Genomic DNA, 16141 nt, shown 5'->3' on the forward strand with positions numbered 1-16141 from the left:
CAGGGTCTTGTTCTGTTGCTCAGGCTGGAGTGCATGGCATGATCACAGCTTACTACAGCCTCGAACCCCTGGACTCAAGTGGTCCTCCCGCCTCAGCCTCCCAAGTAACTGGGCCTACAGGCATGAGCCACTGCATGTGGCTATTTTTTTTTTTAAATAAAAATAGTATCTCACTTTGTTGCTTAATCTGCATCTTGAACTCCTGGCTTTGAGCCATCCTCCTGCCTTAGCCTCCTAAAGTTCTGGGATTACATACATGAACCACTACTCTCAGCCCAATTCCTGAATTTTTAATTCCTGCCCAGACACCTTCCCTAAACCCTAACTGCCTGTTCAACATATCCAACTTGGATATTTAGTAGGCACCTTTACACCTAACATGTACAAAACTAAATTCTTGATTTCCCTAAAATCTGTTCTGGCAATCTATCTATTCCATCTCACTGACAGCAACTCAAACCTTCTAGTAGTTGGCTCAAACCCAAAGCCCTGGAATCATCATTGATTCCTCATTTGTCTATCATATCTGCTCCATCAAGAAATCCTGTTTGCTAGACTTAAAAAATACCATGGAATTTAATTACTGCCAGTCTCCTCCACTGTGACTACCCCGCTTTGAGCCACCCTCACCTTATGCCTAGATTACTGCAACAGTCTCCTACCTGCCCTCTCTGCTTCTGCCTTGTCCCCCAACACCTGTGCTCTGCACATTACAGCAATTGCTGCGCAATCACTTCTTGGCCCTCTGTATTCTCCCTACTATGCTTACTGCTCTTACCGCCAATTGGCATATATGTTTAATTATTCACTTGTTTACTGTTTGTCTTCCCTCATTAGAATGTAGGCTCCATGCAGCAGAAGCTCTGTTTCATTCACTGTTGTATGTTCGGCACAGGGTATGGCATAGCAGGCACTCAATACATATTTACTGGAGGAGGAGAGGAAGGAATGATGGAGCCTAGATTTGAAACCAAATGTGTCTGGCTCCCAAACCTCTGTCTTTTGCTGACACAAGATTGTTCTTAGTCTCAGTAACAATGCTGAACATTAAAAAGGGCCTCTTCATTCTGATATAGTTTATACCAAGACTTATGTATCCTAAGTCCTTTGTACACATCATCTACTATTTTTGTCTCCTATCTTCTGTACCATTATTTTCTTATCATTTTTGTTAAAAGGACTAACCTTTTAAACTAAAATATATGTATCTTACGATTTTATATCACTATTCTAACTGAAAAATACTTGCCATAATAATTAGGTTATAACTAGTAAAATACAAAACCATTCATCCATATACCACCTAAGTTCATGCTGTGAACGATTTCTTTTATGAATATCATATAAGATATCTAGGAAAACCTAGAAAACTTTACCAGAAGAAATTTCTCATTAAGAAATAAATCAAGGCTGGGCACAGTGGCTCACGCATGTAATCCCAGCATTTTGGGAGGCTGAGGCAGAAGGATTGCTTGAGGCCAGGAGTTTGAGATCAGCCTGGGCAATATAACAAAACCTCATCTCTACAAAAAAAATTTTAAAATTAGCCAAGCATGGTGGTAGTGGTGGCTATGCAGGAGGTGATGTGGAAGGATCACTTGGATCCAAGAGTTTGAGGCTACAGTGAGCCACTTCACTCCAGCTTGGGTGCAAAAGTGAGACCCTGTTTTGAAAGAAAGGAAAGAAGAAAGAAAAAAGGGGGGAAAAAGAGAAAGGAAAAGAAAAGAAAGAAATCAAGAAATTCTTAACAAGATCTTAAGTGTGGAAGAGGTCACACAAAGCTACAAATGTGGTAAAACTGCACAGAACTCAATATGCACACACATACACACAAATGAATGTGTATAAAACTAACGAATTCTGAATTAAGTTGGATGACTGTATCAGTATCAATTTCTTGGTTGTGATATTGTACTACAGTTATGCAAGATATTACCACTGGGAGAACTGGGTGGGGAATGTAAGAGCACTCTTTGTATTTATTATTTCTGACGACTATGTGTGGCTACAATTATCTCAAAGTAAAAAGTGTTTAAGATATAACAAACAAAACCACAGGTCTTCCCTAGGCTTAGAAATACACCTTTCTACTGGCATCACATCTCAAGACAACTCAGGACAATGTGATTAAGGGCTGGCTGCAGTGCCTCACGCCTGTAGCACTTTGAGAGGCTGAGGCAGGCAGATCACTTGAGGCCAGGAGTTTGCGACCAGCCTGGCCAACATAGTAAAACCCCATCTCTACTAAAAATACAAAAATTAGCAGGGCATGGTGATGCACACCTGTAATCCCAGCTACTCAGGAGGCTGAGGCACAAGAATTGCTTGAACCCAGGAGGCAGACATTGCAGTGGGCCAAGACTGTACCACTGCACTCCAGCCTGGGCGACAGACCGAGACTGTCTCAAAACAAAGAAAAGAAAATGTGATTAAGTTCATAACCTAAGAATAATTTATATAATAACTAGTAACAAGAAGAATGGTGTTTTAATAAATGTTCATACATGGTTGTTATTGGTAGTAGAAAGGGAGAATATCCTAAGCCTGGGTAACAGAAATAAAGACAAGGAAAAAGACTGCTTTCAGTCCAGTGGAGGTGTTGATAAGAACTGAAACACAACTGCAACTGAGGTGCCCAAAGGTTGGAAAACCAAGGATGAAAGCAGAAATGGCCAGAGGTAAGTAGAGAGATAATTTGGTGCCAGGTTTCTTCATGGTTTTGAATATCATGAAAAGAAATTTAAATTTATCCCATCGGCAAGGAAAAACAATAGAAGATTTTCAAGCAGGGGAGTGACAGTAGGCCTGTTTTACAAAGATATAAAGATATAGTTTGTGTCATTATAGCAGATGGAATTGTGAAAGAAATCACATGCAAACAAGCAGCTACTTAACATTTCAGATATGAAGAGATCTACAAAGAAGGTAAAATTAGAGGCAGCTTTTTGTTTCCCAAGTTGAAAAGTTAATAAAAATATATTATTATTACCAGTTCATAGTCAAGATTTAAAGACAAGAATATAAATAAGCTTACTTAAAAGTCATTAGAGAGCTGAGGGATTTTTGAGAAGCATTTACATAGAAAGGAATGAAAACCTGTTCTCAAATTTAAAAAAAAAAAAGGTCCAAGAGAAAGTAGTGTTACAAAAGTCTAATGCAAATTGAGGTTTTAATGACATTAAATGCTGCATGTATCATCAGATAGGCAAACAATTTAAAAGACTGATTACATGCACTGTTGGTAAAAAATAAAAACAAAGGGACAATTTAAAATCATACTACAGGCTGGGTGTGGTGGCTCACGCCTGTAATCCCAGCAGTTTGGGAGGCTGAGGTGGGCTGATCACTTGAGATCAAAGAGTTTGAGACCAGCCTGGCCAACATGGTGAAACTCCATCTCTACTAAAAATACAAAAATTAGCCAGGTGTGGTGGCGTACACCTGTAATCCCAGTTGCTCGGGAGGCTGAGGCATGAGAATCACTTGAACCTGGGAGGTGGAGGTTGCAGTGAGCCAAGATCATGCCACCACACTCCAGCCTGGGTGATGGAGTGAGAAGTGTCTCAAAAAACAAAGTCATACTAGAAAAAATTAAATATATTTATACAGTTTATGGGGAACAACTTCCAATATTAATATTTTAGGGCCAGTCTAGTAGTGATGAATTCCCTAACCTTTTGCTTGTCTGGGAAAGAATTTACTTCTCCTTCATTTATGAAGGATAATTTTGCTGAATACAGTACCCTTGGTTGGTAGTTTTTTTTTTCTTTCAGTACTTTGAATATATCATACCATTCTCTCTTGGCCTGTAAAGGTTTCTGCTGAGAAATCTGCTAGTAGTCTCATAGCAGTTCCTTGACAGGTTACTGCATGCTTTTTTTCTTGCTGTTTTTTGAATTCTCTCTTTGTCTTTGATGTTAGATAGTTTGACTATAATGTACCATGGAGAATGCCTTTTTGCATTTCATCTGCCTGGGGGGGTCTCAGAGCCTCCAGTATCTGGATGTCTAAATCTCGTTAGACTTGGGAAGTTTTTGTCTATTATTTCATCAAATAGATTTTTCTAACCTTCCCTTCCCTCTTTGCCATCTGGGAAACCAATAATATGTGTATTTGGTCACTTTATGTTGTCCCATATATCACAAAGGCTTTGTTAATTCTTTCTTATTTTTCTTCTTTTTGACTGCTTGGGTTATTTCATAGGACCTGTCTTCAAGTTTTGAGATCTTCTCTTTTGCTTGATCTAGTCTATTGTTGAAGCTTTCAAATGTATTTTGTATTTCATTCAATGAATTCTTCCATTACAGAATTTCTGTTTGGTTCTTTTTTATATCTCTCTTTGGTAAATTTCTCATTCATATCCTGAATTGTTTTTCTGATTTCTCTGTACTGTTTTTCAGAATTTTCTTGTATCTCATTGAGCTTCTTTAATATCAACATTTTGAATTCTTTTTCCAGGATTTTGTAAATTTGTTTTTTATTGGGATCTGTTACTAGAGAATTATGTTATTCCTTTGGAGTTATATTTCCTTGCTTTTTCATGTTTCCTACATTGATAACTGCACATCTGATGTGATAGTCACTTCTTCCAGTTTTTTGAATTTGCTTCTGTAGGGAATGTTTTCCTGAAGATAGATCTATGGTGTTGTTTGGTAGGGCCCTTTGGCCTTGATTCTGGGTGCTTGCAGTGGTACGGTATCTGTACGATTTCTTTGGCTATGAACAGTGTCAGTGGTGTTTGTAATTTATTCAGTGGTTTCAGGTGCAGTTATTAGTGGGGCCTGTGGTAAAGTTTTGCTGAGGACTGGGGCACCAGGTAGGCCAGTCTTTGAGCCCCAGTAGAGGCAGTGGTGAGTTGGCACTAGTAGTCCAGGTGGGCCAATTCTTGGCCTTCAGGTGGCTTACTCAGATGCTGGTAGTGGCAGCAGTGAGCTGGGTGGGTGGGCAGATTCTTGGGCCTCTGGGCAGCTGGCATAAAACAGCAGTGGCAGTGATGGGATAATCTTCTGGGTCTTGAGCAGTGTATGCTGGTGTTGGTGGTGGCTGTGAGGGGGTGGGCAGCTCAGTCTCCAAGCCTGCAGGTGCCATGTGCAGGTAGGTGTCAGCTGTGATTGTAGTGGCAGGGGTGGGTAGAACCAACCTCAGGCCCCCTAGAGGAGTATTCAGGTGCCAATGGTGGTAGAATGTGCTGGGCAATCTCCTGGACCCTAGCCTGTGTGCTCTGGCATGGAGTAGGGATATGAAGTCAGGCTGGGGTGGCTTGCCCTCAGGCTCTCAACAATATGTGCAGGTGCCAGCCATGGTAGGCAGGGGCAGGCTGATCCCTAGGCCACTGGCAGAATGCTCAGGTGGGAGGCAGTAGTGGCTGCACTGCTGCCCTGCCACTGGAAAAGGGAGGGCTACCTTCTGAGCTGGAAGCCTAGGCTAGCAGGTGGGGAACATGTGCACCACCTAGGCTAGCAGGTGGGGAATACTTGCCCCAGCACCACTCGCTCCCCAGCAGCACTTACACTGCTAACCTAACAGTGTTAACCCACAGCTTGGCCCCAAGGGCAGCAGCTCACACTTCTCTTGTGGTTTAGCCCTAGTGATGCTGGACCCCAGGACAGTGCACAGTCTGTTGGGGGCAGGGCTCTAAAATAGTGCCTTGCTGCAGTTGCTTAGTTCTCAGAGCGTGTGTGGGACCCAGCATGAGCTCCCTTCTTGGTGTAGTGCCATCACACAATCTCCTGGCAGCTCCCTATCTTAGTTTCAAGGCCCAGGAAGGTTGAAGGGCTCTTCCATGGCCAGCACTACAGAAGTCTACAGTGGGAATGTGGACCAATGGGGGTCTCTCTTGGCTCCTGACTAATCCCACCTGAACAGGCTACCTTGTTTCCCTTTCCTTTTTAACTTTAGGTATTTCCTGTCACTTTTCTGTTGAATTCCAGTGTTCTCTTGGATGATCTAGTCAACATGTGATTATTCACTCACTAGTTTGGTTCTTCTTAGTGGAGGAGGTACGAAGTGCCCCTAGTCAGCCACCTTGAAGACCCTCCCTCCAATATCAACATTTTAAATATATAAACCCTTTGATCCAGCATTTCTCCCTCTAAGAATTTACCCTACAGATACACTTTCAGTGTACAAAAATATACTTATGTTCATACAGAACTTATTCACTGCATTATTTGAAATACTAATAAACTAAATAACTACAAATAGGGATGTGGATAACAAAAGTATAGTTCATCAATACTATGGCACTAAAGCAGGCATTAAAAAGAATGAGGGACCAGAACATACTGACATGAAGGGATTTCTAAAATAGACTCCTTAAGTGTGTGGGCGGGGAGCAAGGGTGTTACAGACTGCATGTATATAATAATTGCAGTTCTGTTAGAAACAACAAAACTATGTATGCCCATGTGTGAATCACACAGAAAAAAATGTGAAAGAAAAGACCACACACTTGTAATAGCAATTACCCTAGGGGAGCAGAAATGTGAATGGAAGATGCTTGGGAAATGATATTCTTTATACTCCTGTACTGTTTACCTACTTGATAAAAAACATGTATTACTTGGATAAGAATTTAAAACTACCAATGCAAATATAAATACGAAAAAGTTAAATGGAAAATTTTAAATAACAAAACTAAAATAAGCTCCAAATAAACAAAAACACTGGCAATTGTTCTCAGCCTCAATCCTGATCTTTCTATTGTCTTTTTCACAATAGCACCACCATCCTCTCAGTTGCCTAAATGAAAACACCTGGGAGTCATTGTATAATTCTTCATCTCTCTCCCCCTGCTTCATTCATTCAGTCAGTAAATATTTATCAAGTGCTTTCAATGTTGCAAGAGCTATTTTAAATATGAAGAAAACTGTTTATATATGTAATTTGTCTCAGAACAAATTTGACAAACACAAAAAACAAAACTCTGCCAAATCATTTGCAAGTCCTCTGGCTTAAGTCTTCTAAATATCTCTGAAATCTTCCCTACAACTTGATTTCTGCTACAATTTCCTTGGTTCAAATATGAGATGATGAGGAATTAAATTCCTGCCATTCTATCCTTTCTGAAGTCTTCCTCACACCCCTCGAATCCACCTTTACACTATCATTAAAGTAAAGATGATAATATGATTCCTCTCATGGAAACATTTCAACACCTCCATTACGTTCTGAATAAAAAAGCAAACTCTATACTGTGATATGTAAAGTCCTTTTATGATGCCTACCTATGATGTATCCTTAATCTCCACCACTCCAGTTAACCTCTAACCCACATACTTCACAGCAACCCTACTGAACTGTTACCTAACAGTCACATTTTCTCATGCTCCATGCCTGGAAGGGGTTATTTTCACTTAGAATTTCTTTTACCAAACTGTCTGCCTGGAAAACTCCTGCACATTCTTTAAGACCTGGCTCTACAAGCCCAGGTTTTCTTCTATGGCTCCAGTGCCCCTCTCCTACTACCCAATTCTGCAACTATTTATAGTGGCTATCTCCTGTATGCTTACAAAGGACAGACAACATATCTTCTAGCCTCTCTAATCCTAAGGTCTACTTTAACCGCTGACATGTAGTAGGTATTTCATATGTATCCTATGAATAAGAAAGAAAGAATAAATGTGTGTTTAAATAGCTATCTGACCTTGAGTAAGACATATAACCTGAGACCTGGTTTCCTATAGTATAAAATGAGAATTATTATATCTACCTCACAGAGCTGTTCTGATAATCATGGGAAATGAGTTCTTAGCACAGTGTCTGCCACATAGTAAATATTTTGTATATCTTGGCTTGCAATACTTTTTTAAATTAGGGTTTATAAGCTAGCCTAGGAGCATAGCTTTTTAATCCTTATTTCTTTGGTAACCTGAATCCTGAATTTTAAATAAACTTGGAATATAACTCCTGGCCTCAAGCAATCCTCCCATCTTAGCCTCCTAAAGCACTGGGATTGCAGGCATGAGCCACCATGCCCAGCCTAACTATCTATAAGTTGGATCCTTCTTTACTGCAAGCAATCTTCTTCTTAGGCTGATTTCCTTATACCAGCAACACTGAACATCCCATGCTCACTGTCACCTCAAGGTTTTGTTCTACTTGCCTCTCTTGCCTAGAATTTCATCTCTCCTCTCTTCCTCCTTAGCTGAATTTTGCAGATACAGAAAATCCTTAAGAAAATCTGTGTGGTTTCTTTTTTTTTTTTTTTTTTTTTTTGGGAGACAGAGTCTCACTCTGTCACCCAGGCTGGAGGGTAGTGGTGCATTCATAGCTCACTGCAGCCTTCAACTCCTGGGCTCAAGCGATCGTCCTGCCTTAGCCTCCTGAGTAGCTGGGACTACATGCACGTACCACCACACCCAGCTAATGTATTTTTTTGTAGAGATGGAGTATCACTATACTGCCCAGTCTAGTCTTGAACTACTTGCCTCAAGTGATCCTTCCACCTCGGCCTCCCAAAGTGCTAGGATTACAGGCATGAAGAAAATCTATTAATATTTTTATTTCCTGTTTTGCTTTAATATGCTCTATTGCAATCATACTGTTCTATTATTTATTGCTCTCAAGACACCTTCCATGATATCAGTAGGCCACTGTGAAGAATTATTAGGGCTTCTTATCATATATCCTTCAGTTTTCTAGCTTCATTGCCACATTCTTAAGAAATCATCTGATGTCAATCATCACTGACAATTCAACAGCTTGATTTCGTATTCAGACTCTAAACCATGCGCTTCAATACTAAGTTCTCAATTACCCTGGATTCTCTGCTATTGTTTGAAGGGTATTTGGTCATAATCCTAACCAGACTGCAAGCTCTGAGGTCACTGACTTCTGGGTCCTTCAACACAAAGGACAACTCCTGAGCGTAAAAGATAATAAATACTTCCAAATTGACCTCAAAAAAGAAATCAAATTCTTTTTTTTTTTGAGCTGGAGTCTCACTCTGTCGCCCAGGCTGGAGTGCAGTGACATGATTTCGGCTCAATGCAACCTCTGCCTCCCAGGTTCAAGCAATCCTCCTGCCTCAGCCTCCTAAGTAGCTGCGATTACAGGTGCCCGCCACCACACCTGGCTAATTTTTATATTTTTAGTAGAGACAGGGTTTCACCATGTTGGTCAGGCTGGTCTTGAACTCCTGATCTCAGGTGATCCACCTGCCTTGGCCTCCCCAAGTGCTGGGATTACAGGCGTAAGCCACTGCCCCTGGCCAAAAGAAACCAAATTCTAAACAAACATATACTTTTAAGATATCAGTAGGTCACTGAGGACACAATCTGTATTCCATTCTCATCCACCTTCATTACAATTCGTATGTGGGATATTAACTAGCCACGTCTAAATCTTTTGTTTATATTCAAAAATACAAACACATATATTTTTCTAAAATAAGTATTATGCTAAAAAGAAGCTCCTTTCCTTACAATACATTAGAAAGTTTCCCCCCTAGTCTCACAAAAACCCCATCTTTCCATATTTAGAATTTATTTCAAAAGTATCAGTGAAGATGGCAGAACATATACAATCTTGTTTCATCACCGTCACAATAATGTGTTTCATCATAGGTCACTCAGCAATTTGTGTTCCATTGTCACCTGCCTTCTTTAAGTTTCAATTGGGGGTATAATTAATTATATAAAATATAATCTTGGCTTATATAAGACATGAAAATGATCTATTTTATATAGATTACAATCTATTTTAGATTATTTAATGTTATAAAACATTAAAATTTTGATAATTTTGAAATTATATCCGAAAACACAGCAGAGGAAAGAAGTAATTCTTTTAAAAACTAGAGTGTTACATTATCTATATGTAACATAGCTTTAAGTAAAACCGTTTCTAAAGAAAATAGGCAAAAACTACTAATTTACCTGTAATCATTCCGATCATCAGCTTTTACTCCAGGCCAATCTCTCTTCAGGTATTGACTAGCCAACTTCTGCATACCCTGTTAAAAAATACATATTTTTTCTAAAATAAATATTATGCCATAAAGGAAGCTCTTTTCCTTAAAATACATGACTTAGAAAATCTCATTTTTCCAAATGTAAATTTAATTCAGAAGTGAAAAAAAACAATGATAGGCTGCACGTGGTGGCTTACACCTATAATCCTGGCACTTTGGGAGGCCAAGGTAGACAGATCACTTGAGGTCAGGAGTTTGAGACCAGCTTGGCCAACATGGTGAAAATCTATCTCTACCAAAAATACAAAAATTAGCCGGGTGTGGTAGCATGCGCCTGTAGTCCCAGCTACTTGGGAGGCTGAGGCAGGAGAATCACTTGAATCCAGGAGGCGGAGGCTGCAGTGAGCCGAGACTGGGCCTCAGCACTCCAGCCTGGGTGACAGAGTGAGGCTCTGTCTCAAAAAAAAAAAAAAACAAAACCCAATTAACCAACCAACCAACCAACCAAACAAACAAAAAACAATGATAAATGGTAGAACACTACAACCTTTTTTCATTATTGTCCAGTCCTCTCTTGTCTCCATTTTTAGGAAAAGGGTGAGTATAAGGATAAGAAAGTTGAAACTTCATTGATATGCCTTTCACTTTTAACTATTTGACTAGCCATAAAAACAAACCACCTCTGGCATGTCACAGGGAACACAGCTGTCCATCTCCATAGAACTCTGATCACACAGCTTTCTAAATCTCGGCAGCCAAACTCTCAAATACCAGGAAAGAGAAAAACAAATTCAATTTGAAGTAGACAGATATATACTGGCATGTAAAATTAATGAACAAATTTTGGTGCTGTTCCATATTATTAATTCTCAAGACAGATTTTAAGGGTCTTTTCTTTTTAAATGATACCATGACACAAGTCACTTCAAACAACAAAATAAACTGTTTTACAAAGAAATTTGCCCACTTACTATTATCTACACAACACAAATCTGGATAAAACAGAATGTTTATCTATAACAGGTGTCAGGGAGAGGTACAGGGATTTGAATTGAGAAGACCATTTTGTTAAGAATTGATTTTAAACTGCTCATTCCAATTATACAATGTATTATGTTTGTTTTTTTGCTTGTTTGTTTTCGTTCGTTTGTTTGTTTGAGACAAGGCCTCATTCCAATGCCCAGGCTGGAGTGCAGTGGCGCGATCATGGCTCAATGCAGCCTCAACTTCCTGGGCTCAAACAATCCTCCCAACTCAGCCTCCCAAGTACCTGGGACTACAGGCACATGCCACTGAGCCCAGCTAACTTTTTGTATTTTTAGTAGACACAGTGTTTCGCCATGTTGCCCATGGCTCAACTCCTGGGCTCAAGCAAGCCACCTCCCTTGTCCTCCCAAAGTTCTGGGATTACAAGTATGAGTCACCAAACCTGGCCAACGTATTACTTTTGGATAGGAATATATGTGGTCCCCTAACACTATAACAGGGCCTAATGTAATGGTTATAGAAATCATTAACATTGAGATACTTATTTCTATACACGTAACTAAAAAGAACACAATGCTGAAATGAAGAACAATCACATCTATTAATCAACTACCTGCTTGAGGCAAAAATTACTCAAGTAAAATCAACACTACACTCTACATGGTACCTTTCTATTAAGGTCTGCTGTCAAATTAGCTTCAATCTCAAGTTCCTCCCGAACTTGGCAACAATTTGGTTTCACTATTTCTAAGTATTGTGTATTCTGAGAACTTGTATAGAACTACATATCCGTAACAGTTCCACTTAACATATCTTGTACTTTGGGAGCTCCAAATACTAAGTCTTCCCTAAATATGTACGGTAGTTTTTCACCTCTGCACCTTGTTCATAATGCTCCCATTGCATGAAAATATCTTCTAACCACTCCTATTCCTACTTGCTAAATTCTCACCCCTCCCTTTTAATCTGATACTTAAATTTCCTAACGTAAACAATCACAAATATATATAGGAAAATGTGAAAAGCGTCATTGCCTAGGTACTTATTTTCATTTCATTAAAGTATAATAGCTATTCTTTCTATATTTATTAGCTATAATTCTATAAAGAATTATCCCTCATGAACTATCTGGTTATATTGAGATACAGTTCTTGGAGGAAAGACAGGATAAATATTTGAATGTCCAATATTTGGGTCCAAAGATGAACAATGAATTTTTAAAGTAACATTATGAACTCATGTATTTTAAATAATAGATGCATTCCAATTAATTAAAGTTGCTTTCTTCTGATGCTCAAATTGTCACATCTGTGGTCTGTCAGAGCCCCTCCAAGTTGGCTCCCATATCATGATCCCAAATAGACTCTGAATGCATCTTTGTTGTTGTTGTTGCTGTTATTGTTGTTTTACAGTTCCTGGCCCAGACTTGAAATAAGCTAGTTCTCCAAGGAATCCTGATTGTTTTCAGGGAGAAACCAGAGACCACAATCTAGGCAAGTTCTCATTCTTTGGGTCTTACTATTTGTGTCTTTTTCTAAAACGCCTTTTCTAATCACTGTATGCAAAGTATCTTCGCCTCTGGCCCTCTCACATAACTCTATTTATGCATAATCATCATACACTGTTACTGTCTGGTTTAAATATTTGTCTGTTTACTCTATAAGCTCCATCAGGTACAGATCTTGTCTTTTTTTTTTTTTTTTAATCATTATATCCCCGGCTATAGCAGATCACCTAGAATTTAGTTGATACCGATAAGATCCACTGATTGCATGGATAAATGCCACCTACATTACTCTGTTTCTAATGTATAGTGCCCATCTCCATTTATGTTTTTGCCATTCTGTGTTAGAAGTCTTTGAATAAAAACTTCTCTGGTTCCTAATTTTCATGTACTCAAATTTTTTAATAACTGTATCAGATTTCTGAGATTATGACCAGGTGGCTTTAATATAATAAATTCCTTGGTAAAATTACAGTCAAATTTGACCATCTTCACTATTTTAAGAGAAATATGTGTGGGTATTCCAAAGCAGTTTTTAAAAATAATAGAAGTTTATTCCATACCTAGAAAGCACTACACATTAATTTTTATGAGGGTTCAATTAAGTCAAGATCTCAGAATTCAAATAACTCATTATCTGTAGAGAAGAATAACAAGTATACAACATAATATGCCAGGCAACATATGGGTTACTGCCAAACAAGTGGCAAAATGTGATATAAGTACCCAAATGAGGAAAAGATCATCTGGTATTTTCTCAAATCACATCTAAATGACATGATAGTGACTTTTTCAGTTTAATCACTGTTAAAGTGTTTACAGAACACATCACACAGAACATAGAATATGAGATGAGCCTCAGTTCATGAGCAGGATTAAGACAGAAAGCAGAATGACAGCACTCTAAATTTATGTAGGAACAAATGAACTTAAGCACTTTCACATGTTTATTTCTCTTAACTCTATGTTAGGCTTTGTTATCACCACAGAGAAATTGGACATTAAAAGCATAAATACTTTACTTCAAATCATACAGTTCGTAACTAGTTAGGTGTGAGCTAGAATCCAAAGTTACCATGTCTTTGTAAAAGAAATCATTTTAGAGTGGACTTTATCTATTTTTTTAAATTATGAAATTAATTTGTTAACTTTGTGCATTATAAATTACAATAGCAATTTCTAGAGCTCTAAACCACAAAGCTAAACTGTATTAAACTGAATGAGCCCTTCAGAGATGAGATGAGGGATTCATGAAATAGACAAACAATGAGATCTTTAGATGAAAGACTTTATTCAAGTTAGTTCACAGAGGCAGGAATCATGACTTCTGTGTACTCCATGCAGCTGTTCAAGATCTAATCTGCATGGATGCTCAGACATACTCTGGGGCTATTACAGTAAAGGTCCTAAATAATATTGCACATTTCTGAAAGCATTCTATGCTTAAATTAACTGGTTTCCTCTATACTTTATATTTAAAGCTACATTTGATGAATAAAAGGTTTACTTACATAGAAAACAAAATCCAGCCTAATTAATTTGCTAAGGAAAATAAACCTATGTCTTGCAATTTTTTAAAGTTTTTAAAAAAATTTTTTTCAAATCATTCTCCAAGCCCACAGCACTACTATCTAAAATTGGTCCACTAAACATAATATTTATTTATATTTACCTAAGCATCACTGATGCATAATGCTGATTTGATTTGCAATTCAGTTCACTTTAGAGCAGTGGCTTCCATAAAGATGTACTATCAATATACTCTTTGAAACATGCAATAACATCCGATTCCAACTTTTAAAAAGCCATCAGTGTCTGATGTTAGGCTTGCTTTGTTTTACCTCTCAATAACACTTGCTGTATTGCTTTAACAAGTGAAGAAACACAAAGAGAGCCACTGTTGAGTAGACACTAGGAAATGGACTGATGGCTTAACCTTTGGCCAATTTATTACAGCAAGCTGAGTAGAAGGGTGCTCTATGGCTCTAGCACAGGTAATTCTGTATCCATTTCATCCCTCAGCATACAGAGAAACTAATATTTAAATTTTACTAAGGGTTTGCCATTAGATGGCTCTTTAAAATTTTTGGAAACCATATTCTTTATATACTATACCATTTTGTCATGAAATTCCCGGCATTATGCAAGTGATCTTTTAACAATGAACAAGTTCACTGCATAAGCTGGATATTTCTTAAACTAATGCAAATTATGCAATTATTACCTTTACTATATTCTTAAATCACTTTAAAAGTAATATAGAATTTCACTCCCATCCTAAAGGAAAGTTTTAAAATATTCTTCATTGTTCTGTGTGGTATATGATTATGTAAGATTAAAAAAACAGTATATTATTTTAAATTACATAATAAATTGTCTTTATTTACTTTTCCATAATTTCATGACGAAATGAAATATTAATCTCATATAATAATATGTTCTATATATTAAAAACTAAAGGTATCTTTTAGCCTTTTCCCATTTATAAAAATAAAGATTAATTTTATTTAAATTAAGTATATATAAGAAATAAGATCTATTGACATTTTATTTACATTGAGACAGGGCCTTGCTCTGTCACCCAGGCTGGAAGGCAGTGGCATGATCATAGCTCACTGAAGTCTTGAACTCCTGGGCTCAAGTGATCCTCCTGCCTCTCAGCCTCCAGAGTAGCTGGGACTGCAGGTGCATGCCACTGCGACCAGCTAAGTTTTAAAATTTTTTGTAGAGATGGGGTCTCGCTATGTTGCCCAGGTTGATCTGAACTCCTGGCCTCAAGTAATGCTCCCACCTCTGCCTCCCAAAGGGCTGGGATTAAAGGTGCAGGCCACTGTGTCTGGCCTATCTACTGACATTATAAATGACCCATCCTATTTGATTTAAAGATCAAACATAGAATAAAAAAAAAAAAAAACAGGCACACATACGTTCACTGCAGCCCCATTAGCAATAGCAAAGACATGGAATCGACCTAAATGGCCATCAATGGTAAAGTGGATAAAGAAAATTTGGTATGTATACACCATGGAATACTATGCAGCCATAAAAAACAATGAGATCATGTCCTTTGCAGGGGCGTGGATGGCGCTGGAGGCTATTAACCTTAGCAAACTAATGCAAGAACAGAAAACTAAATAATATATGTTCTCACTTATAAATGGGAGCTAAATGATGAGAACACATGAACACATAGAGGAGAACAACAGACACTGGGGCCTTTTGGAGGATGGAAGCTAGAAGGAAGGAGAGGATCAGGAAAAATAATTAATGGGTACTAGGCTTAATACCTGGGTAACGAAATAATCTGTACAACAAACCCCTGTGACATGAGTTTACCTATGTAACAAACCTGTACATGTTACCCAAATTTAAAATAAAACTTAAAAAAAAAGCTCATTCATGACAGAATTCTAAAAAAACTAGATGCAGAAGAATACGTCCTTAACCTAATAACGGATATATACAAAAAACTGGCTGGGCGTGGTGGCTCACACCTGTAATCCCAACACTTTGGGAGGTGGAGTCATGAGGATCACTTGAGCCCAGGCAACACAAGGAGACCCCTGTCTCTGTAAATAATAAAAAAAATTTTCCAGGCCTGGTGGTGCACACCTGTGGTCTTAGCTACTTTTGTGTATGGCAGGAGAGGGAGAGGAGAATGAGATGGGAGGATCACTTGAGCCCAGGATGTCAAGGCTGCAGTGAGCCATGACTGCACCACTGCACTCCAGTCTGGG

The 16141-nt window shown here is 38.4% G+C and overlaps 1 protein-coding gene across 5 annotated transcripts in view; it reads right to left on the minus strand.

Moving 5' to 3' along the window:
- Positions 1 to 16141, minus strand: part of FCHSD2 (FCH and double SH3 domains 2) — a 305574-nt gene that overhangs the window by 169186 nt on the left and 120247 nt on the right. For 4 of the 5 annotated variants that reach the window (NM_014824.3, XM_011545409.2, XM_047427949.1 and 1 more), the window contains one exon: positions 9879 to 9955. In NM_014824.3, the coding sequence (NP_055639.2) occupies positions 9879 to 9955 (77 nt within the window). Of the gene's footprint in view, positions 1 to 9878; positions 9956 to 10593; positions 10676 to 16141 lie in introns of all 5 variants that reach the window. The other variant, XM_011545410.3, reaches the window with a different exon arrangement.

Source organism: Homo sapiens, chromosome 11 (genome assembly GCF_000001405.40).
Source record: "Homo sapiens chromosome 11, GRCh38.p14 Primary Assembly".
Lineage (NCBI taxonomy): Eukaryota > Metazoa > Chordata > Mammalia > Primates > Hominidae > Homo > Homo sapiens.